Genomic DNA, 23,029 nt, shown 5'->3' with positions numbered 1-23,029 from the left:
CACTGATACCCAAGGGCCTCAGCATCCCCTTCTGTAAAATGGGATTATGGTGTCACCTCCCTCATAGGACCTGGAACTGCACTTTAGCTAGTCCCTAAAATACTGCGTAGTCTCTCAAAGCCCAACTTCCTTCTCTGCCCAAAGAGCAAATGCCTGCCCGAAGAGCCCCTGGGGACTTTCGCCAGGCATCCACACACAAGAAATGTATTAGCTATGGATGGGTCAGGCATGCACAGATAAGTTGGGGAGGGAGTGAGTTGGAGAGAAGGAGGGGCAGACCAGAGGCCACTAGATCTAGTTAGAGATATTCCATGGGCTTTTGTCTGCAGGCTTATCAAACAATGAGGATTCTTTGATATTTAAGCCCGGCAGGAGTCAGAGAACAACAGGAGAGGACCCAGCAGATCAAACTCCAAGAGGGGCCCAGGAGTGGGCGGTGGTCAAGCCACAGGCGCTGATTGGAGCAGCCATGGGCGGGCTAAGGGGACCTTGCCCTCTGGCTCTACTGGTGTTGACTACATTTCTATGGGAGGGACTGATGCTGTCATCAGGGAGCTTGGGGGACAGGCTTCTTGGAGTGTCCCCCTGGTGGGACCTGGAATGTGTTGAACTTGGCTGAGTGGTGCAAGGGATCCCCTGGTGCCATCCCTGCCAAAGACCCTATCAGTGTCATGAGCCTGAGGATGAAATCTCCCGATGGGTGAGTGCCCCAGCAGCAGTTGGAGCAGAGTTTGGGCAGATTCTAGCGAGAGCAGCTACCCAAGGTGGAGGGGAGGCCAGGGCTCAGGGCATCCAGCTGACCCACGTGCTTCTTGCAAATCCTCTGAGGTGGCCAGCGCCTCAGAGGGGTGTCCGGGGAGGGGCGGGAGGCATGGCTTTCTGTGGGGCACAGCTCCTGGGGCACTCATTGCTTAGACCACATTGTCAGCTGTGCCCCTTGGAGTTAGGTCTGCGGGGTCACCTGGACTGGTCATGGTGCTGGCAGGACACAAATGGTGCATTCAAAGTGGGCAGTGGAGGGGAGCTGAGTTGAAAGGTCATTCACAAGGTCATAGTGTGGTGTAGGAAACAGCAAGTGTGGTGCAGTCCCTGGGGCTGGAAATGGTGGGACTGTTTCCAACCCTAGGGCTGAAGGGACAAGAGGACATAGACTTACTGAGACCCCCAGGACACAGCTAATGTGTGGATGGGGTCATTTGACAGGAGCAAGGGACCATCAGCCCTTGGCTGTCCCACAGGGAGGGCGCCAAGGCAGTCACTGCCTGTCCCCAGTTCCCTCTCTCCCTCTGGCCTTCCTCCAGGGCTTCCTGTGGCTCCCAGGAGGTTGTCCAGACTTTAGGGGGGCCACCAGACCTTGCCTGGCCCCCCCTGTCTGCCAGTGCCGCTGCAGTCTTCCAATCCACTTGACTTTGTTTTCTTTCAGTTCGTTGGACTCACCTACTGTCCCCACAGGCCTTCATACCTGTAGCTTCCCCTGCCTGGGAGGCTCTCACACTCCCTGCCCAATCACCTGTCCACCCTGTGGACCCTCAGTCACTACCACTTCCCCCAGACATCAGCCAGTCCCTCTTACGCCCTCTGCTCGTGGCACTGAAGGCTGCCAGTCAGGGCTCTCCAGGGGAGCAGAGCCTATCCCATATTTGTGTATGCATATTAAGAGATTCAACTTTCGGAACTGGTTCAGGCAGTTGTGGAGGCTGCCAGGTTCAAAACCTGGTGGGCAGGCCAGAGGGCTGAAATCTCAGGCAGGACTTGACTTCTCTGTTACAATCTTAAGGCAGAATTTCTTCTTTTCCAGGGAACCTCAGTTTTTGCCCTTAAGGCCTTCAACCTATTGGATGAGGCCCACCTGCATTCATCTCCTTTACTTAAAGTTAACTGATTGGAGAGCTTAACCACATCTGCATGCTACCTTCCCTGAAATACCTAGACGAGTGTCTGACCAAACTACTGGACTCCATGGCCTAGCCAAGCTGGCTCATTACATTTATTTATTTACTTAGAGATAAGTCTCGCTCCCCCAGGCTGGAGTATGATCATAGCTCATTGCAGCCTTGAATTCCTGGACTCAAGTGATCCTCCTGCCTCAGCCTCCACATAGCTGGGATGACAGGGGCAAGCCACATGCCTGCTGATACATTAAATCTAACCATCACAGCTGGTCTTTTGTGTGATTCCTTAATAATCTCAGCCTCTGTCCCACCCTGTGATGTTGCTTTCAGTGAGCAAGGACGAAGATCATTCTACTTTCTCTCTCCTTTTTTTTTTTTTCGACAGAGTCTCGCTCTGTTGCCCAGGCTAGAATGCAGTGGTGCAATCTCGGCTCACTGCAACCTCTGCCTCCCGGGTTCAAGCAATTCTCCTGCCTCAGCCTCCTGAGTAGCTGGGACTACAGGCATCCGCCACCACACCCAGCTAATTTTTTTGTATTTTTATAGATAGGGTTTCACCATGTTGTCTGGGCTGGTCTTGAACTCCTTACCTCAAGTTATCCACCCTCCTTAGCCTCCCAAAGTGCTGGGATTACAGGCATGAGCCACCACACCCAGCCATTCTACTTTGTCTAACTTTTGTTTTGTTCAGCACTTGACAGCAACTGCTAGATGGCCGGAGCCCAGTGAGTAATTGTCAAATGAAAGAATGAAAGCAAGAGCGAGAATCCACAAAGGGGCTTGGCAGTGTCCAAGTCAGAGATGTTGCCAAGACAAAGTGAGATGCTGTATGTAAAGGGTCTGCATGTAGTAGGTGTGAAACTCACACATGCCATTTCTTCTTCATTTTCAACCCCACTAGCCATTATCCACACACACACATATGCAGTTCTGAATTTCTCAGAGGAATGATGATCCTGGGTAGGTGACATTTTCCTAATGTTAATGTTAATGTTAAATATTCTTTTGTGATGGTCAGGAATTGTTCTAAGCACTATATATATATATATATACCAATAGTATTGTTTCCAATATGTGTTAAATATTCAAGATTATTAGTAACATGATTGTACGGTGTGGTAGCTCATGCCTGTAATCCCAGCACTTTGGGAGGCCAAGGTGGGCAGATCACGAGGTCAGGAGTTCGAGACCAGCCTGGCCAACATAGTAAAACCCCGTCCCTACTAAAAATACAAAAATGAACCAGGCATGGTGCACATCTGTAGTCCCAGCTACTCGAGAGGCTGAGGCAGGAGAATCGCTTGAATCCGGGAGGCAGAAGTTATGGTGAGCCAAGATGACACCACTGCACTCCAGCCTGGGCAACAGAGCGAGACTCCGTCTCAATAAAAAAGAAGTAAGAAAGTGACTCTCAGGACTAACCAATAGTCATTAATTTGTTCAATTAGCCAAGTCTAGGTGAGCAGGGGCTGGGATCATTGTTGCATTTTACAGATGAGGAGCTGACTGGCCTCGGCTTCTGAAGTGGCCCAAGTCACGCTGTGCTCCGTGGCTGCTGTCCCTGGGGTTGGGGGTGGGTGTTCTCTCCTCTCCTGGGAGGCGCAGGGAGCCTCAGGGCAGCACAGTTGCTGGCTGGCTGGCTTCATTCGAGACTGATTTTTTTAATCGACATAAGGAGAGAAATGTCCACCCCAGTCCTGCCATTGACAGGGAGCTTGTCATCACCTGTTTACCTTGCAGTGGCCAGGACCTCCTCTCAGGCCTCACCTCACTGTGGCCCTGTTTCTCTTGGATGATGTTTTCTGGAGGGAAACGGGTCTGGCTCCCCTCACGGCTGATCCTTCCTGACCCAGGGGAGGAGAGCGGCGTTGAGTGGGTCCAGGCCTGGCTCGGCCATGAGAGCACAGCTGTCAGCTTCAGGGGTGACTCAGAGCGGGTGGAGCCCAGCTGGAAGGAGAAAACAAAACAAGGGAAGGGAGGGCTCACACTCGCCCCTGCCAGGCCCTGAGCTGCGCCACACACAAAGCCCACTCAGTGCTCACAGTGCCACCATGGAGTGGGGATAGGCTGGTTCCTCTTCCACAGCTCAGACAGCAAGGAGGCCCAGGGCAGGGGCCGACCTCAGCCTGGCACCATCCACTTCACACCAGTAGGTGTGAAGTTGGGATTCTGCATTGGCCGTAATCCTGACTTTACACCTACCGGCCGAGGGCCTTGGGTAGGTGGCTTGACCACTGTGGGCCTCTGTCCCAGCTCTGAAAGCTGGAGATGATACCCAGTACCTTCATCGGGAGCTTGTTGTGGGCCCAGCCAATGTGCACCGGTATTGTGCTTAGAACACAGTATAGAAAAGACAAAGGTGATGGTAGGTGTCCTCAGTGTTGACACATTACTGCTCTGTGCAGTCACCTCAAGTAGGGATGGTTTTTAACCCCCGCTTTATGGATGAGGAACTTGAGGCTCAGCAGCCCATGTAACTTCCTGGGGGTCACCGCAAACAGCCCCCCACCCCTTGTGGCAGCAGCTAAACCAACTCCCGACCTTCTATCCCCCCCAAAGCTCCACCCTCTCTTTTCAGTTGCAGCCCATGACACCTCCTAAGATCCTGCCCCTGGGAATGGGAAGAACACCTACTCCGGGGTAGCCACCCTGTAGAATACAGCAGGTTTTTTCTAAGGAGTCAAGCGGGTCTTGGGACTTGGGCATCTGGTTTTCTTTAGCCCTGGTGCACTTTTCCTGTGTATCCTTGGAAAAGTCACTTCCCGTTTCTGAGCTCAGCTTCCACATCTGTGGACTGAAGTGAGGCAGCAGCTTGAAGCGTGAGGATTTGATTCGGGGATCCAGGTGCTTATGAAGTTCTTGGAAGGGCAGTGAGAATGGGGGACCTCCAGGGTTTGGGCTGCAATGCTTCAGGTTGAGGCCCACAGGCCACGAAGCTTCAGGAAGTCAGGGCAGAATCTGCAGCTGCCCCGCTGCCTGGAGGTAGAAGAAGGCAGGTTCTGGAGTCCAGATTCTGGGGCAGCTACACAGCAGCTTCTACCACTGCCAGAGGAAGGAAGGCTCTTGCCTCGCCCACCTGCCCGTCCCAGCTATCACTGGTCAGATCTCAACTACTTCCAAAGCGCTATGGACAGGGATGCTGGGAAATGTAGTTCCCAGGCTTCCAGCCCCTGCAGTTAGGGGAAGCACACAGCGAGTGGGAACAAACTCTCACTCCTGTAGACAGTGGCCAGCATAGGAACCCCTGCTGGCAGCAAGAAACAGGGTGCCCTGAGAACCCTCGAATGCAGGCAGGATTGATGCAACTCTCAATATGGGATTTGAGCCATGTGGATTGCAGATACCACTCTAGCTTCTAGCCTTATTCGTTGATCATAGCTACAAGTTTGCTGAGTTCTTAAATGTTTCTGAACAGTCTCCCATCACAATTCCCAGTGCGTGATACCCAGGGAGCAGGGAGGGTTAAGGACATCAGCAAAGAGAAGGCCTCATCACCCAGGGTCAGCGGTATCAGGCCAGGAGTACCCCTTAGCTTCAGGGGGATGGACAGGTGGCAGGAATCCTGGGGCGGGGTGGGCTTTTTAAAGCCCAGCAAGGCTTCCAACCAGGTGCCTCTAGCTCTGACTCACTTGGCCCAGGTTTCTTATTAGGCTGATTCTCCAAATGAGGGATTAAAGTGGAGGTCAGACACACTCCCTTGTAATAACACAGGGGCACAAGGGACTGCGCTGGGAGAGTTCCATGTGGAAGTTCCACACACTCAGCTTCCAGAGACAGCATCTTCTTCCTGGGGACCCATGCCGAGCACAGAGTGTGTAGGAAAGGAGGGAAGGAAGGAGGGAGGAAAGAAACGTTTAGACATTGATCCCAAAGATACAAAAGACCTGGTCCAAGTTGGCTCTGCCATCTCCTAGTTGTTTTAACTCAATCCAGGTGCCTGCCCTCCCTCAGCCTCAGTTTTCTTGTCTGCAAGTTGACAGTGAAGGTAACTCCCGTGTATTAAGCATCTGTTAAATGTGAAGCATTTATGCACTTAACTCTCATGTGAACCTTTGAAGAGATGTGATTTTCCCCATCTTGCTGGTGCAGGCCCTGAGCCTGATGAGGTAGACGAGGTCCCTACCCAAGACCTCTCAGCTAGGAGGTCGGAAATTTAGGAATCAAACCCAGATCTGGCTGACCCCCAATACCCATATTCTGTTCACCACCCAGTGAATGGGGCTGCTGAAAGGGTCAAATGGATGGCAGCTGTGACTGTTTTGGCAAACTATAAAAAACAATGCAAAAAAAGAGATGACCCCCAATTCAAGACTGGCAGTCGGAGGTTGTGAGGTGGCCAGGCTTTCCTGCGGATGTGTAAATCTTGGATACTTCAGAAGACAATGCATCTGCGTTTCCAAGTGTGTGGGAAAAAAGACTGATTGGAGAGTGGAAAATTGGAGCTACCAGAGCAATTTTGAGGAACCTTTTCCTGGGGAAGATCAAAGCTGGTGGCAAACTCAGGTGGGCCTGACTCTCTACATAAGCCTCTGGGACCAGCTGCCTCCTGACCCAAGGCAAGGCTGTTGCAGAGTCTGGGTCTGGGAGCCCCTGGGAACCCTGACATTTCCCCCAGTGTGTTAGGAGCTCCTTCCTGCAGGTCCTGGGAGGTCTTGGCCACGGGAGTAGAAAGCATGAAGATTTAGCTGTTCAGCACATCAAGGAATTCACACAAATAATGAATTCGGCCAGAATCATCATTTGTGTAATACCACTGGTTTGCATGATTTGATGCCTGATTTCATTTGGTCTTTTAAATAACCCTGCGAGTAGGACAGGCCAAGGGTTCTGCTGGACTTTTTCCTTTTTGTTTACAAATGAGGACCTTGAAGCTTAGTGGGGAGAGACAGAATTGACCTTTGTGGTCATCTACTCTGTGGCGGGAACTGAGCTGTTCACTTTTGTGCAAGGCCATTTATCCCACAGCAACGCTTCGTGTGAGCATTTTTGTTTGTTTGTTTGTTTAAGATGGAGTCTTACTTTGTCGGCCAGGCGGGAGTGCAGTGGTGCAATCTCAGCTCACTGCAACCTCCACCTCCCAGGTTCAAGCGATTCTCCTGCCTCAGCCTCCTAAGTAGCTGGGATTACAGGTGCCTGCCACCACACCCGGCTAATTTTTGTATTTTTAGTAGACACAGGGTTTCACCATGTTGGCCAGGCTGGTCTCGAACTCCTGACCTCGAGTGATCCGCCCACCCCAGCCTCCCAAAGTGCTGGGATTACAGGCGTGAGCCACCATGCCCGGCCTGCGTGAGCATTTTTAATCCTATTTTGTAGATTCAGGAATTGAGGATCAGAGAGGGCAAGTGCCTTGCCTATGAACACACAGCCAGGAATGGGAAGAGTCAGGATTTGCATGCAGGTCTCTCATGCCTTTGTTGTTGTTGTTGTTGTTGTTGTTGACAACTGTTGGCCATGATCCACTAGGAAATTCTTCACAAAACCAGAATAAATGGGTTCCAAGCGTCCAGTGACCAGGCATGGGCCGGACAGCAGTTCAGAAAGGAGTCATTCTTCTTACTGGAAGGTTTGAGGGCCATTAAGTATCCAAGATTTACTGGTCAGGTCTTACTTGGTCCCACCCTGTGCCCATACATGAAGCCAGCCGGCCAGGATCCCAAAGGCCAGGACATGGGAGGATCTGTTTTTCAATAATGGGAAGTCCCCGGATGTGTTGCATTGGAAGTCATCTCACTGTCTGTGCAGAGCTGGCCTGGGAGCAGGAGGTTCTGACATAAAGTGAAAGCAGATGCAGTGGGGCCGCTTGGGTGGGGCAGGGAGGTGGTGGCTGCCATGGCTGCAGCTGCAACTTTCCAGCCTGCAGATCTGCCTCTTCCTCCCACCATCTGTGCACTTGGCTGGTGTGAGGAGGTTTGCCTCGGCACCTCTGGGGCCTCTCTGGGCCCCATCCTCTTCTCTGAATTTGCCACGCCCGTGACACATACAGGCAACCACTCCAAGAACAGGAACATGGAAAGGCAAAGAAAAGATGCTGTGACTTCTACTTTGGGCAATGGCAGAAGCTTGTACCAGATCTTTTCTCCCACTGAGAACTATAAAAGCTGGAAAAACTTGAAATCCAGCTCTTTGAAGGCATTAGAGAACAACTAAAGCAGCCAGGACTTGAGGTGCGAAGACCCCCCAAGAGAAAGGAAATAAGTTGGGAGAAACCCAATATTCCCTGCTCATTTTCTGCACGAGGTATGTGCTGATTTTTGCAGAGGGTTCAGAGGACGAGCAGAGAGCAGCAGTTCAGAGTGTTTGGCAGTCTCGCAAGGTGGGGAAACAAAACAGAGATAGGTAGGTAGGTAGAGGGAGTCAGTGAGTTCAGGACTGCTAGGTCAACCAAAACCCAAGGAACCAAGAACCTAGAGCAAAAACAACCACAAAGAAAAGAACATGTGCTCTGTGCCTTCTAAAATTTTCCTTTCAAGGCATTTGCCAGCACTTAAGTTTCATGGGTCCAGAGTCTAAGAAACCAAGCAGAAAACAGCAGATGAAAAGCTAAAAAGACTGGGCATGGTGGCTCATGCCTATAATCCCAGCACTTTGGGAGGCCGAGGTGGGTGGATCGCCTGAGGTCGAGAGTTCGAGACCAGCCTGACCAACATGGAGAAACCTCGTCTCTACTAAAAATACAAAAATTAGCCAGGCATGGTGGCATGTGCCCATAGTCCCAGCTACTTAGGAGGCTGAGGCAGGAGAATCACTTGAACCCAGGAGGTGGAGGTAATAGTGAGCCAAGATCAGGCCACTGCACTCCAGCCTGGGCGACAGAGTAAGACTCTATCTCAAAACCAAAAACACAACAACAACAATGACAACAACAAAAAAACCCAAACAAACAAAAAAGAAAGGCTAAAAAGTTAAGCTTACGGTGATCTCATAGTACAGGGGAGACAGAAATTGGAGATAGGAGCCTGTAAGGAAGAGTCACCCTGATAAGCATCTTGGTTTACCTGTTGAGAACGGCTATGCCCCAGGGGTAAGAGTAAACCAGAAATAGACCAGTCTTCATGAAAAGTGAAACACAGCTGCAGTTAGAACAAAGTAATGTGCCACTTCTGTACCTGCTCATCAGGAGACAACCGGTCCTCTCTGAAGGAGGACAGCCTCATCCAGAGCCTCTGCATTTTTGTCATACACAATACAAACAGCAACCAGGCCTGCCAAGGACAGAACCAAATAACCAAAGAAAGAAAGAGCAACCGAGAAAATAGACAATAGAAATACACCCACATTATCCAAGTATCACAGGATATCCAATGTGGGCTTTAAGACGGCTGTGGTGAATAAAATTGCACAAAGATAGATGACAAGGTGGAGAAATTCACCAGCAAAGTAGAACCTGTCAAAAAATTAGGTAGAAATTCCAGAACTAAAAGACACCACTGAAATGAAGAACTGAATTCATAATTCAAATAGAGTAGGCACAGCAAGAAGGGGGAGTAAACAAGGCTGGAAAGATGACAGTAAACCAAGTCCAAAGAAGTTATCAGAAAGGGAATGGGGAAGATAGGGAAGATAAGAGCAGGTATTGATGGAATTGAATGATGAGCCACGGCTACACAGAAAGCCACAGGAGAAGGCAGGAGTCTGCCTTTGCTACCATTTTGCTGTGTGACCTTGGATAAGTCACTTGCCTTCTCTGGGTTTTAGTTTTTCATTTCAGGGAGACAAGCGTAAGGGTTACCCACCTCTCCTGGTGGCTTGGGGATCACATGAGGAAAGTTGTGGCCACTCTGTATTGAAAGCGTCAATTTTGCCAACAGCCTGCACAGTTCGCTCAGGCATTTCTCTAGTGACCATAGTGCCAGGGGCTGTGTGAAGGGCTGGGAGGGCATCCCAGCCTGTGATGGGTATTTACTACCATCCCGTTCAGTGGGTATTTACTACAGGTTCAAAACCCCGTGTGGTTCCTTCATTTGTGTTTCCAGGAGTTTCACACAGTTCTCTCAGTCTCTGGTCATTGCCCCTCAACTCCCTATTGCCAGAGGAGTTTATCTTCATTAGGGACTCTCCTTAGGGAAATTCTTACTTTTCAGTCCCCAAAAGTGTGCTGACATTTGTCAGTCTTGTGCTGGTGACCCCGCTAAGCTCTGTTGTGTGCAGGTGCTTCATGCCTCCTCGTATTGAGCATGTGGCTGGGAAATGACTGCCATTTGGCAGAGGACAGGGAGCCAGCTTCCCTCCTTCCCCATCCTTCCCTGCTCCCTCTCTTCTTTCTCCTTGTTCTGGGGGGCCCGGCCTCCCTCACCGCACACTTGACATGCAGAGATCTTTGGTCTGTGGCGTCTTGGCCCAGATGTCATTTCCGGGAGCCAGGGCTGGCATTCCCCCATGCCTGCAGGCTGCCCCACGCTTGCTAGAGCACGGAGAAGACATGCAGTCCTGGTTTCTTCCCTGCAGCCAGGGAAGGGGTATAGCGGTGTTCTTGCTTTTCCATTGCAGTTTTATCCAGGGCTTTGGAAAGCGCTAAATGATACCAGCTCAGAAGCCTCTGATGGTTATGGGGAGTGCCCTGGCCTTGGAGGTGTGGCTGCAGGATGCCCCAGAGGAGAGGAGGCTGTCACAGTCCCACAACCTGTGCAGCACAACCTTGCCCTCTGCCCTGCCTCTCACGCCATCCCTAGCAGCAGCCTAGAGCATTAATATCTCTCACGCAGAGGCAGGACATTGTAGGAAACCTGACCTCTCATCCAGAGCCTTGTTTGATCAACACGGATCAACAGTCATCTGTTTCAGGGAACTCATCTCTGCCCTGGCATTAGGGGTGCAGAGGCACTAAGGGCAAGGGTGTCCTAGGCCCTGCTCATTATAAAGGCAAATGTAGTAAGACCATGGCATTCCTCTGCTCAGCCCCACCAGCAGGTTTCTATGTCACCCAGAGAAAACTTAGTCTTGACTGTGGCTTCTCTGGCCCAACACACTCTCACCCCAGCTGCATGCTCAGATTCCCCCTCACCCCCCACCCACTCCTCTCCTCCACACTGTGTCTGATCCAGCCATACAGGCCTCCTTTGCTCCACAGGGTCTGGGGCCCTATTGATGCCTGGGAGGCGCCTACCTTAGATCCTTTTACGATGCACCCCAGCCACCTTGTCCAGGGCCTGGAGAACGCAAGGACCAGCAAATATGCAGTCAATGAATGAGATGAATGGACAACCTTGATGGGCTGACGGCCCCGAGAAATGAGCAGAATTTGTGTTATCAATCCGTTTTTCCCATTGAAGGGATGGTTCGGAAGGGCTAGGTGACTTGTTCATGGTCACGCAGTGAGTAGTGTGGGACAGGCTGCTGAGAATGGAAATGTGACTCAGAGTCTGTGCTTTCTTTCTCAGTTCTCCCTCTGGACTGTTGGCCGTTTTGTTTCCCTTCATTCATTTCTGGGTTTCTTCATGACCCAAGCCTCCACTGAGCATTGAGTGTGTGCACGGGTGACAGGGTCACTGCCATAGTGAGGCTGAGTTTCCATCCTCACATTGCTCCCAGTCCAGGGAGGAGACATATGTGTGAAGAGCACAGACAGAGTGCAGCCAGGACCCTAGGGAGCCAGGAGAGGCCCCTAACTCACCCCAGGAGAGGGCAGGGCTTCCTCCAGGAGTCAGCACCAGCTGAGCCCTAGAGAATGAGTAAGAGCCATCGGCAAAGCAGGGTGGGGTGGTTTTCTGGACAGTGGGGACAGCCTGAGCAGGGACACGGAGGTAGGAGCAACTGTGACCTCTGGGTCAGTCACATTGCTTCAAGTTACAAATAACCTACTTTACCCCATAAAGGGGATTTATTCCCTCATGTAACTGAAAAGTCAAGGTGAGGGTGGGGCTGCAGGTTGAGCAGGATCAGGGATTTAGCACCATTTGTTCGGGTTGTTCAGCTCTAGTCTCTTCTACACACGCTAGCAAAATAGCCAGCAGGATGTTCCACATGTCAACAACAAGCCAGCCAGAGCAAAAGAAAGTTTCTTCCCTCCCTACAGAAGCTTGGCTGGATGAATTAAGGCACATGCCCATCCCTGGATCAATTACTGGGGTAAGAGGTGGGAACCCTCTGCCAGTCAAGTGAATTGTGAGCCTATCTGTGATGATGCAGAAGTTATTCTTACTTAAATTACAGAGCTGCTCCTTGATGGGGGCAGGTGGGGAGAGAATTGGATGGGATACCTGTGGACACCACTAGGTTATAAACAAAATCTAGGTTGTCATGAAAAGTGAAAACTGGAGCAGAGACCGGATAAAAATGACGTTGCCAACTGAGCTGCAGAGCTCAGACCTTGTCCTCCATACGTTGGGCTTCTAGTTCTGGAAGCTGTAGAGGGTTGCACCCTATGCATCTTGGGCCCTGGATGTCTTCAGAAGGGCACTGTGGATTTAATATGGTTTTGGAGCTGTCCCCCTTTCTACCAAAAGGTGATCAATCTCCTTTCAACTCTAATTTTCCTGGAAAAAAATATACCCTGCTTATTGACAATCTACACCTTGAGAATGGGGAGGAATCGATCAGATTTCTTCCATTCTTCAGCATTCCAAGCAAAGACCAAAAAGACCACGCTCCAGGGCAGACGTGCAACCACAGTTGTACCATACAGAAATCCCAAGGTGTCGGTGAGAGCCAGAGGGGTCTCCGATGGGCATTTGAGAGGTACCTGTTTGCCTTCTTCAAAAGAATACTCCCCCCTTGCTCTATATCCCTCCAGCCGTAGTAATCTGAAGACCAGTTAACAAGACAGGTGTCTGCTCCAGGGTAGAGCCCCCCAACCCCCTGTTCCTGGTCCCCCAACCCCTCCCGATGTAAGGAATCAGAGGACTGTGGATTTGGACTCGGATCCTGCTCCTTCCTTTCCTTAGGCAAGTCATCTAAGCACTTTGAGTCTCAGTTTCTTCCAAGACAAAAAGGGAAACTAATATCTAGCTGACAGTATATTCTGAGGATTATCTGAAGAGATACGTATGCATGAATATCTCATCCTCTCAGCTCTTAGTGGATCATCAGAGAATATTGATTCATTCACATGTTGAAGAAGAAAAATTAAAGTTCAGCAATGGCCTAATAGATACCAGAAGCCCAGCATACATCATTTTATCTTATCTTCATAACCATTCTATAAGTAGGGGTGTTAGTATCCCACTTTGCAGAAGAAGAAACTGAGGGTCAGGAAGGTCAAATAACTTTCCCAAGGCTCCACAGCTGGGAAATCAGAACTTGAACCTGGACCATCTAAAGCCCCTTTTTATGGAACTGAGGCCAATTGGCAGAGCTTGAATGCCCAGGTAAAAGGAACCCTGGGCCACTCTCTAAGCATACCATTGTTGTTGTGCTTGTTGCTGAAATCCAAAATCTGGAAGAGAATGAAGTAGAGAGAAAGGCAAATAACATGCATTTAACAATTCCTGTGTATATTGTACCTACATGCATCACGAGCTCTTTGACAAATGTTTGTTGAGTGTGTCAATGTGCTAGGTTCTTGTTGGAAACATGGAGGGGACACCTTCTGCATCCCATAATAACCTTGCAAAGAGATGATAACATCCATTGTATGCACGCACTCAGGCTCACAAAGGTAGATAAACCATCCAGAGCCACCTGCCAGGTTGGCATGACACCAGAAGGAAGACCACGGAATACGTCCTGGTGGAGATGTGGAGAGAAACATTTTTTATAGCAGGATCACAGAATCTCACGCTGTTTTCTTCCTCCTTTTCTTTGCAGATGACAGACAACCTTCTGTGCCTTCATCAAGCTGGTTGTGTACCCACCATGTCCCTGGCGACAGGATGGGAAAGAAAAAGCCCTAATTAAGGATCGTCAGAAACCACAGTTGGAGGAGGACGGCAGAGACAGTTTCCCTCCCCGCTATACCAACACCCTTCCTTCGAGGTCCTCGCTCCTGAGGGACCCTGGACTGTCACAGAGATTAATGACCCCTTATCTTCTTTGGATGTGAAAGGAAATCACTGGTTAAAGCTTGATCGAGAGACATTATCAGCTCTTTAAGGATTGCAGAAGAATAGGCTACTTTATTTTCTGAAAAGGTAAATATATGCAAGCAAAGCCAACATGCCACGAATGGCGTTGGTCTACCACACAGCCGTGTCTGGGACACAGTTGGGGGTCATCCCCCAGCAGGAGTGAAGTCGAGCTTAGCGGCCCTTGTGTCCTCCCTTGGAATTCCTGCCATCCCTTTTGATTGAGCCTCCACCTCTGGGATTTTTCTTCCATTTTTCTCCTCTCTTAGGAGGGAGTTCCTGCTACCCATCGTGGGAGGCCACCATCAGGACTGCGAAGATGGTGACCCTGCGGAAGAGGACCCTGAAAGTGCTCACCTTCCTCGTGCTCTTCATCTTCCTCACCTCCTTCTTCCTGAACTACTCCCACACCATGGTGGCCACCACCTGGTTCCCCAAGCAGATGGTCCTGGAGCTCTCCGAGAACCTGAAGAGACTGATCAAGCACAGGCCTTGCACCTGCACCCACTGCATCGGGCAGCGCAAGCTCTCGGCCTGGTTCGATGAGAGGTTCAACCAGACCATGCAGCCGCTGCTGACCGCCCAGAACGCGCTCTTGGAGGACGACACCTACCGATGGTGGCTGGTGAGATGCTGCCTGAGAGCGGGGTCTGGGCTGAGAGTTGGGGTGTGGACTGAGAGTGGGGTCTGGGCTGAGAGTGGGGATCTGGATAAGAGTGGGAGGCCTGGGCTGAAAGTGGGAGTCTGGGCTGAGGGTAGGGGTCTGGTAATGAGAGTGAGGTGCTCTCAGAGTTAAATGCTCAGTCCCCGTGTACACCTGGGGCCCTGCCAGGCAGTTAGTAGGATTCAGATTATTGTCCCACACTATTTATTGAGGATCTATTATATCTAAGTCAGAGCAGGAAGCACGGCTTTAGTTTCCTGTGGCTGCCATAACAAATTTCTGCACAATTCATGGCTCAAAACACCAAAAGTGCATCCTCTTGCAGCTCTGGAGGCCAGAAGTCTGAAAACAAATTATGGGCAGACTTGGCTCCTCCTGGAGGCTCTGAGGGGGAAGCCGCCCCAGGCCCGCTCCTGGCTCCTGCCAGCTGCCGGCAGTGCTGGGCGTTCCTGGGCTCAGAGCTGCAGCAGTCCAGCCTCTGCCTCCACTTCCACAGGGCCTTCCTCCCTGTATCCCTTTATGTCTCACATGTCCCTCTCCTTTTCTTATGAGGACACCTGTCATCAGGTTTAGGGCCCACCCTAATCCAGGATGATCTCATGCAGAGATCCTCAACAATTTCACCCACAGAGGCGCTTTTTCCAAATGTCATGCTCACAGATTCCGGTGACTAGCACTTGAACGTATCTTTTTGGGAGCCACTATTTCACCCACTACAGCTATTGAAATGCAAAAAGAGAGAGAGATCCTTATTCTCATGGAATTTTATTCTGGCTGGGAGGGGAAGATAAGAAATAAACAAGGTAGGCTCACACAGAAGTGCTTTGAAGACAGATCCAATGAGGTTTGTCATAGAAACTTAGAGGGGGCTTCTGTAAATGGGGTCACCAGGGAGGTCTCTGAGACAGCAGGACTCAAGTTGAGACCCACAGGCAGAGAAGGCAGCAGCCATGAGAAGAGCAGGACCATGCACTGCAGGTGTCTGGGACAGCGGGTGCAAGAGCCCGAGGGTGGCCTCTGCTGGATGTAATGGGGAGTAGAGGAGCTCTGCATGGCTGGGGGGCTGTAAATCAGGGGAGGTGCAGTGAGACGAGGCCTGAGAGTCAGCAAGACCCAGGGGAGGACTCTGGGATTTCTTGTAAGTGCAACAGGAAATCACTGTAGAATTTTTGTCAGGGGGTTTCATGATCTGATCTTGTCATTTGAAAGGTCATTCCCATGTTAAATGCAAAATAGATCGAAGAAGAGCAAGATATATGTGTTCATGTCTTATTTATTGAGCACCTACTATATGCCAAGCATCACTACATTGAGATGGAAAAGATAGAGTCTTTCCTTTCTTGGGTTGCAGGAGTGATGGGGAGAGAAGGGAAAACAGACAAACTCAAGCCAGGACCATAGGTGCTGTGCAGGAAGTGGGCACAGGAGCGATGGTCTTCATGTCCAACTCCCCTTGGAGCCTGGGGTTATCGCAGAAGGCTTCCTACAGGAGTGATGGCCAGGTTCATCATGAAGGATTCAGAGAGGTTATCCAGGTAGATTCTGGGGAAGGTCTATTTGAAATGAACAGAAAACATGTGTGAGACTTAGAAAGGTCAAAAGCCCTGGGCTATGCTTCCAAAGACCTGGCTGAGTCCTGGTTTGCTAATCTGTGTTGAGCACCACTGTGTGCAGGTCCTGGGGTGGGCTCTGGGGAGGTAACAGAGAACCGGGCAGGTAGGGTCTTTTCCCTTTCAAAGATCCAAGGGTCTAGGGAAGGAGGTGGCGAGCCAGGCATGGTAAGGATTAGGGTCTGCTCTCAGCCTCAGCACTATGGACTTGTGGGGCAGGATCAGCCTTAGTCACAAGGGCTGCCCCGTGCATTGCAGGATGTTTAGCAGCATCACTGGTCTCTACCTACTAAATGCTAGGAGTGCCCCATCCCCAGTTGCGATAGCCAGAAGATCTCCAGACATTGTCAGGTGTCCCAGGTGGGGTGTGCGTGTGTGTGGGTGCACATGCATGCACAAAGTTGCCCTCCCTTGAGAACCAGCAGGGTTGGGAAAATGACACATTGATGGCAGAGGTGGCTTCACACACATCCCATCTCCTCTCTGGATCTGATTCCCCCTGTAGCAGCAGTTGCTGGGACCACGTTAAGTCCAAACTTCCTCTTCAGAGCCTGGAGTCTGTGATGTTCAGTGTCACCATGGGATTCTGTTTACAAAGGCCTTTTGGGGACAAACAGGGTACTACACAGCCTGTTTATATAAACCAAACAGGAAGGGACCTTACACAACAGCAGGTAAAGGAGAAACTTGGGGGCCTTTGTCCTCATTTTACAGACAAGGAAACTGAAACTCAGAAAAGTTAGGTGACTTTTGCAAAAGAGAACATCAAATCCAACCTCTGGAAATACCGTATTAAAAACTGTTATTAGAGAGTATCACCAAGACAGTATCGATCTTTCTTCTTGGGGAGGGCGGTTTCTAAAACTCTTAGGCTGGTGTCGCCCAGGAGGGTTAAAAAGGCGTAAGGGAAAAACATCAGCTTCTGGATATAAGCCATGTGTCTTCAAAGAACACAGGCTATAATGTAGACTTAGGAACTGGGGCCTGGCATCAGCGTTCCTAGGTTTTGTCGCAGAGTTTGTAGGTCCCATCAGGAGTGACTTTGAAGAAGCTCTTCATCTCACTGAGTCTCAGCCTCCTTCGTGTTACATGGGAGAAATGTTACTTCACCAGGTTCTCTACAACCCTGCAAACATTAGTTTTAACAATTGTATTTATTTTTGTTGGTTTAATGGGCAAGTAATACTGAACTTAGGTGGGTTTTTTTTTTTTTTCAGTACTAATTAAGGCTGAATATATTTCCACTTAGTTGTTTCCCATTTACCAGATGTCTTCCCCTACCTGCAGCCCTTCTCTGCAGTCTTTTTCTGAAGTTTAGCCTCTGGTGGCTGATCCCAGGGCAGCCACTTGGAAGGAATGGGGCTTCACCCTCTGGAAATCAACAGAAAGGAGCAGGGCTTTAGAGCTTTGGGGTTCTAAAAAATGCACAGATAATACGGAAACCACACGCTTTGAATAAAGAATCGGGATACAGGCATGGAATATCTGACAACAAAGCCATCCTGAGAACTCCAGGCTGCGCCATTGCTCTGCTTAAAGGCCCCCCTGCAGGCAGGACCATTTCATGAATGGAACTGGACTTGGGTCATGATATGGTTTGGCTTTCACCCAAATCTCATCTTGAATTGTAGCTCCCACAATTCCCACGTGTTGTGGGAGGGACCTGGTGGGAGATAATTAATCATGGGGGCGATTTCCCCCATACTGTTGAGGGGGTTGGAAGAATCTTAGGTGAGAATGTGAGGTCCCGAGCTCCCATCCTGCCCTGAGCTTCATAGTCCTCCTCAGTCAAGTGGGCATCACAATTCCAGCTCGTCCCAGCCCTGGCAGGAACAGGGACACAGGAGCAGTCACCAGGGCTCACTCTTTTAGTTGAGTTGAGTTGAGTTGAGTTAAATTGAGTTGAGTTGAGTTTACAAATCAGCCCCGTGCCCTGCAAGTGAAGAGACTGCACCACCATCCCAGGCTGGACCTACTGACCCCTGTGACCCTCTCCTCGGGTCTCTGTCCCAGACACCCAGGAACAGGGATTCCTTCTTCCCCAGTCCCCATGTCCAATTCAGAGACAAGCCATGTCGAATGCTGACTCTGCCTTCTCTACTTGCCCCCAACTTGGGAAACCGTTTTGTGATACGCAGGGGACATTCTCAAGGGACAGAAAGAGTGCGACCCTCCCCTGATTTCCGCCCCCTGCCCTCCTAAGGCATCTTCCCATCCCAGACATCCATGCCCAGTGCCCAAATGCAAAATAATACCATCATACTGTCCACCCGGCGCCTAGCACCAACTCTGGCCAGGTCCTGGGCCCAGCTTTCCAGGTACCACTGCTTCGCCCTTACCACCCCCACCACCAGGAGGGTGTAGGTATCTCATTGTCCTCACTTTGCACTTACCAGGTCACCCACTGTCAAAGGGCACAGTCAGATCCCCTTGTAGTTAAAGGACATGGTCTGGAGTCAGGCCCAGGATATTCAAACTGTTTTGGTCCTGGGAAACTCACTTCACCTCTGTAAGCCTCAGTTTCCTCACCTGTAAAATAGGTCTATAAGATCACCTTTCTCATAGAACCATTATAGAAACTCAGTGAGAAGCTGCCTATCAGGTTATCAGCACAGGGTCCTGCATAGGGCAACCATAGAACATGCGCTTCTGCTCAGGGTGAGCCATCTGAGTCCTGCACGAGCCATTTCTAAGCACCGCCTGTCCCGGCGCTAACCTGTCCACCCCACCTGTCCACCCCACACGGCACCGGGGATGTGATAGGGGCTCAGTTGTGATGAGTTGAATGAATGAATGTGTGTTAGCTTTAGCAGTTGTCATTCACTTATTCAATGGACATATCTTGAGCCTGTACTACCTAGCATGCTTGTGTCTGCTGCTTGGATGCCAAAGGGGCCAGGGAAACCAACAGCAGCTGGGGATTGGAATGAGGCCTGCGGTGAGGCCCCAGTGGTGCCACCCATGTGTGGAAGGCCAGAGACTGATATTTCCAGGGTCCAAGGGAGGCTTCTCAGAAGGCGATGCATCATTCATTGGCCGTGGAAGGAGGAAGGAGGATGGGAAGGGAGCGCGGGTACCTCTTCCCAACACTCTCGGGACGGGTGTGGCCTGTGGATAGGGAGGACTTCCAGCCATCGTGCCTCAAGACAGGACAAACTCTGCCATAGCACAGGCTCCAGAGTTCCTGTGGATCATGCCCGAGTGCAGGGTGAGGTGAGGCACCCAGGGCTCCAGCTTCAAGGAGATGTCCGCTCTCGGGCCGTGCCCCTGGGCATGAGTGGGCCTCCTTATCCCACTTGCCCGACTCCTCACTCGCCTCGCCCCCAGCCTGCAGTGCTTGACTCCATGGAGACCTCCCCTTCCTTCTCCTGCCTTGCTTCTCATCCCTCTCCAGACAGCACCCACCATGGACACCTGCATCCGTGCCCCAGCCTCTGCTTCCAGGGAAGCTGACCCGAGGCCCCGTGCTTCCCAAGGAGCTCAGGCCACCAGGCGGCAGGCATTGATTGAGCGCTGATTGTATGCAGATTGAGCGCTGATTGTATATACTTGGAAACTAGTCTGGAAGGCTGGAGAGGGCGTGTCCCTGAACTTCCAAACACTCTGTCCTGTGTTCATATCAGTAGCACTGTCATACTTTTTTTTTTTTTGGCATGGAGTTTCTCTCTTGTTGCCCAGGCTGGAGTGCAATGGCGTGATCTCGGCTCACCACAACCTCCGCCTCCTGGGTTCAAGTGATTCTCCTGCCTCAGCCTCCTGAGTAGCTGGGATTTCAGGCATGCACCATCACGCCCAGCTGATTTTGTATTTTTAGTAGAGACCGGGTTTCTCCATGTTGGTCAGGCTGGTCTCAAACTCCTGACCACAGGTGACCCACCCGCCTTGGCCTCGCAAAGTGTTGGGATTACAGGCGTGAGCCACCGCACCTGGCCAGCACTGTTGTTCTTTTATTGCCACTGACAAAAGGCAGAGAAAACCAGAATATTTCTTTCCCAAAACAGTGACGCCACATGGAGTAACCTGCCTGCTCCATCTCAGCTGGTGTGGGGAGGACTTACTATGATAATCTAGAGAAAGAGCCAGTTTCCCATCTGAGCTCTACCTGGCCCTGCACTCACTCTGGGACCTCAAGTGAGCCCTTTCCAGGGTCTGGGCCTCCATTTCCCCTTTTGCCAATGAAAGATTGGAATGGGTCTGAGATTTCTGAAGCGTGGGGCTTGTGATGTTAGGTGAGGCAGGGCACTAGAGAAAGTCGCATCACAGAGCCCGGAGGTCATTTCTGCCGTCCCTCCTTCCCACCTGTCTCTGCAGTGCTGGGGCTTCAGTTTGGCCTGGTGTCTTACTTTGCACCTTGTCAGCGCTTGTCAGCCTTGTTCTAAGGGAGAGGAGAGTTTGCCTGGGCAGGCAGCAGGGTAGAGCTGCAACCGAATACAGTAGTTTTGTTTTCATTGCATTGTACAACTACCATTTTACTTCTGCCAGGTAATTCTTGCTTTCTACGTGTGGTAGAGATGAGAGGTTTCCTTTCTAATAAGTTTATTTTTATTATTTGGCCAGGCATGGTGGCTCACACCTATAATCCCAACACTTTGGGAGGCTGAGGCGGGTTCATCACCTGAGGTCAGGAGTTCGAGACCAGCCTGGCCAACATGGTGAAACCGTGTTTCTACTAAAAATACAAAAATTAGCCAGGCACAGTGGTGCACACCTGTAATCCCAGCTGCTTGGGAGGCTAAGGCAGGAGAATCCCTTGAACCCAGGAGGTAGAGGTTGCAGTGAGCCGAGATCGCACCACTGCATTCCAGCCTGGGCGATAGAGTGAGACTCCATATCAAATCAAATCAAATCAATCAATCAATCAATCAATTTATTTTTCTTAAATAAGTCATTAAAGAAAAGTAAGTCAGTCAGAGTCCAGCAGGATGATGTGGTGCTGTGTGAAGCAGGCAGCATACTCTCCACACACGTCCATGGCCGAGCTTGAGTCCTGGCTTCTCAGGCCTCTGTGGCACCCAGTAGACACTCAGTAAATGTCACTGCATGATGGATACACGGTGCCAGGCTCCCAAATCAAAGTAGCGGCGTGATGGAAGGCCACCCCCTGGGCCTGGGCACATCTTTACAAGCCTAAGGGGCACAGCAGCCCTTGCTAGTTGGAGACCTCCATGGAGGTTCAGGGGAGTCTGGCTGTGGTCCTCTACCCTGGGGCTCTCAGAGTGTAGTCCCCCCACCAGCCCTGGCAGCAGCATCACCCAGGAGTCTGTTAGAAATGCAGGATTTCGGGGCCAGCTTTAAACCTACTGAGTAAGATCTGTGCCTTAGCAAGCCTCCAGGGGGTTTTCCGCACATTCAGGATCATGGAGCCACCCTGGATGATCCCATCAGAATCAGGCATTTTATCTGGATATCACATCTGTGTGTGTGACAACATATTCATAATATTTATCATTTTCACCACTTGTGTGTGTACGATTCAGTAGCATTAAATATATTCACAGTGTGTGTAACAATCACCATTATCTATAACCATAACTAGCAGATTTTTGTCATCCCAAGCAAAAACTCTGTCCCCATTAAACAGTAACTTCCCCTTACCTCCTCCTCCTCCCAGCCCCTGACAGCCACGCTGCCACTCTCTGTCTCTATGAATTTGACTACTCTAGGTACCTCACATAAGTGGAATCATATAATATTTTTCCTTCTATGTCTGGCTTCTTTCATTAATCATAATATTAGTATTTTCAAGGTCCATCCATGTTGTAACCTATTTCAAAATTTTCTTTTTATAGCTAAATAATATCCCATCATATGTCTGGAACGTACTATGTTTGTTTATTCATCCATCGCTGGAGACTGGGTTGCTCCCACCTTTTATCTATTATGAATAATGCTGCTTTGAACATGGGTATACCAATATCTGCTTGAGACCCTGCTTTCAATTTCTGGGGGTATATACGTAGGAGTGGAGCTGGTAGGCCACATGGCTGTTCTGTTTAACCTTTTGAAAAACCACCCAGTTTTTACCTCGGCTGCACGGTTTTACATCCCCACCAGCAATGCACGAGTTCCATTTTCTCCACATCCTCACCGATACCTGTTGTTTTGCCCTTTTACTTATGATAACTGTAGCAGTGGGTGTGAAGTGTGGTCCAGATCATGTTGCTTCCCATGACGTGTCTAACGGTCTTAAGCCAGAGGAGAGGCTGCCTGGGTTTAACTGGAAGAGCAATCTGGTTCTGCTTGTGTGCCTCCCCTTGGGGCATCCGATTCCTTCCATTGCAGTGGGGACTGGGTGCCCCGGGATCTCCCTACATATGCCCAGGTCACTCATCTTCTGGACAGTGGCCAAAGCCACTGCTGGCCACTCCTTCCTCTCCCAGCCACCCCTTGCCCCTGGGGCCCGGAGTAGCCGATGGGAATCACCCCACAGCTTATCACCCCTACCCCAAAATCCAGGGTCTGGGCTTTCCAAAGGCCAAGATTCCAAGAGCCAGAGTTAGGGTTGTGTGGTGGGAGAAACCTGCTGGTGGGTTTCTAGAAGCCTGGGTTCAAATCCTGGTTTGTATTTGGGATGAGTTGCTTACCTCTCTGGCCTCAGAGCATCCTACCTCACCCACAGTGAAATGACACAGCACTGTGGCATGGGGACAAGGTCAGATGCAACACTTTTATGAAATCTCTCCAGGGTTTACCACGAGTGAGGAAGGCTGAGGCACCAACAGGCATCACTACATAGTGTGGCCAGAGCTCCACCTGAGGTGACGGGCGGGCCTGGGCATGCAGCGGGGGCCAATAGTGAAACCACCGGGGGCCAATAGGGATACCAACTCATCCTGGTTTTAGCACTGAGAGTCCTGCATC

General features: G+C 50.6%; 1 protein-coding gene across 7 annotated transcripts in view, besides 2 other annotated features; it reads left to right on the top strand.

Annotated features, from left to right (window-relative positions):
- The window catches only part of ST3GAL1 (ST3 beta-galactoside alpha-2,3-sialyltransferase 1), a 117,040-nt gene that overhangs the window by 81,650 nt on the left and 12,361 nt on the right, over positions 1-23,029 (top strand). For 4 of the 7 annotated variants that reach the window (XM_017013736.3, NM_173344.3, XM_006716617.3 and 1 more), the window contains 2 exons: positions 13,638-13,960; positions 14,164-14,519. In XM_017013736.3, coding sequence (XP_016869225.1) covers positions 14,214-14,519 — 306 coding nt within the window. In that variant the 5' untranslated portion in view covers positions 13,638-13,960; positions 14,164-14,213. Of the gene's footprint in view, positions 1-517; positions 701-13,637; positions 14,520-23,029 lie in introns of those variants that run through there. The other 3 variants (NM_003033.4, XM_047422106.1, XM_005251025.6) reach the window with 2 other exon arrangements.
- Positions 974-1,757: an enhancer, noted in NCBI's record as "H3K27ac-H3K4me1 hESC enhancer chr8:134500724-134501507 (GRCh37/hg19 assembly coordinates)". NCBI's record gives its function as "activates a minimal SCP1, AML or CMV promoter by ChIP-STARR-seq in naive H9 embryonic stem cells {active_cell/tissue: H9 hESC(naive)}" and the evidence as "EXISTENCE:reporter gene assay evidence [ECO:0000049][PMID:30033119]".
- Positions 7,547-7,596: an enhancer, noted in NCBI's record as "active region_27996". NCBI's record gives its function as "activates an Ori minimal core promoter by ATAC-STARR-seq in GM12878 lymphoblastoid cells {active_cell/tissue: GM12878}" and the evidence as "EXISTENCE:reporter gene assay evidence [ECO:0000049][PMID:35858748]".

This window comes from Homo sapiens, chromosome 8 (genome assembly GCF_000001405.40).
Source record: "Homo sapiens chromosome 8, GRCh38.p14 Primary Assembly".
Taxonomy (NCBI): Eukaryota; Metazoa; Chordata; class Mammalia; order Primates; family Hominidae; genus Homo; species Homo sapiens.
The sequence above is the reverse complement of the archived record's forward strand: the minus strand, read 5'-3'. Positions and strand labels throughout refer to the sequence as shown.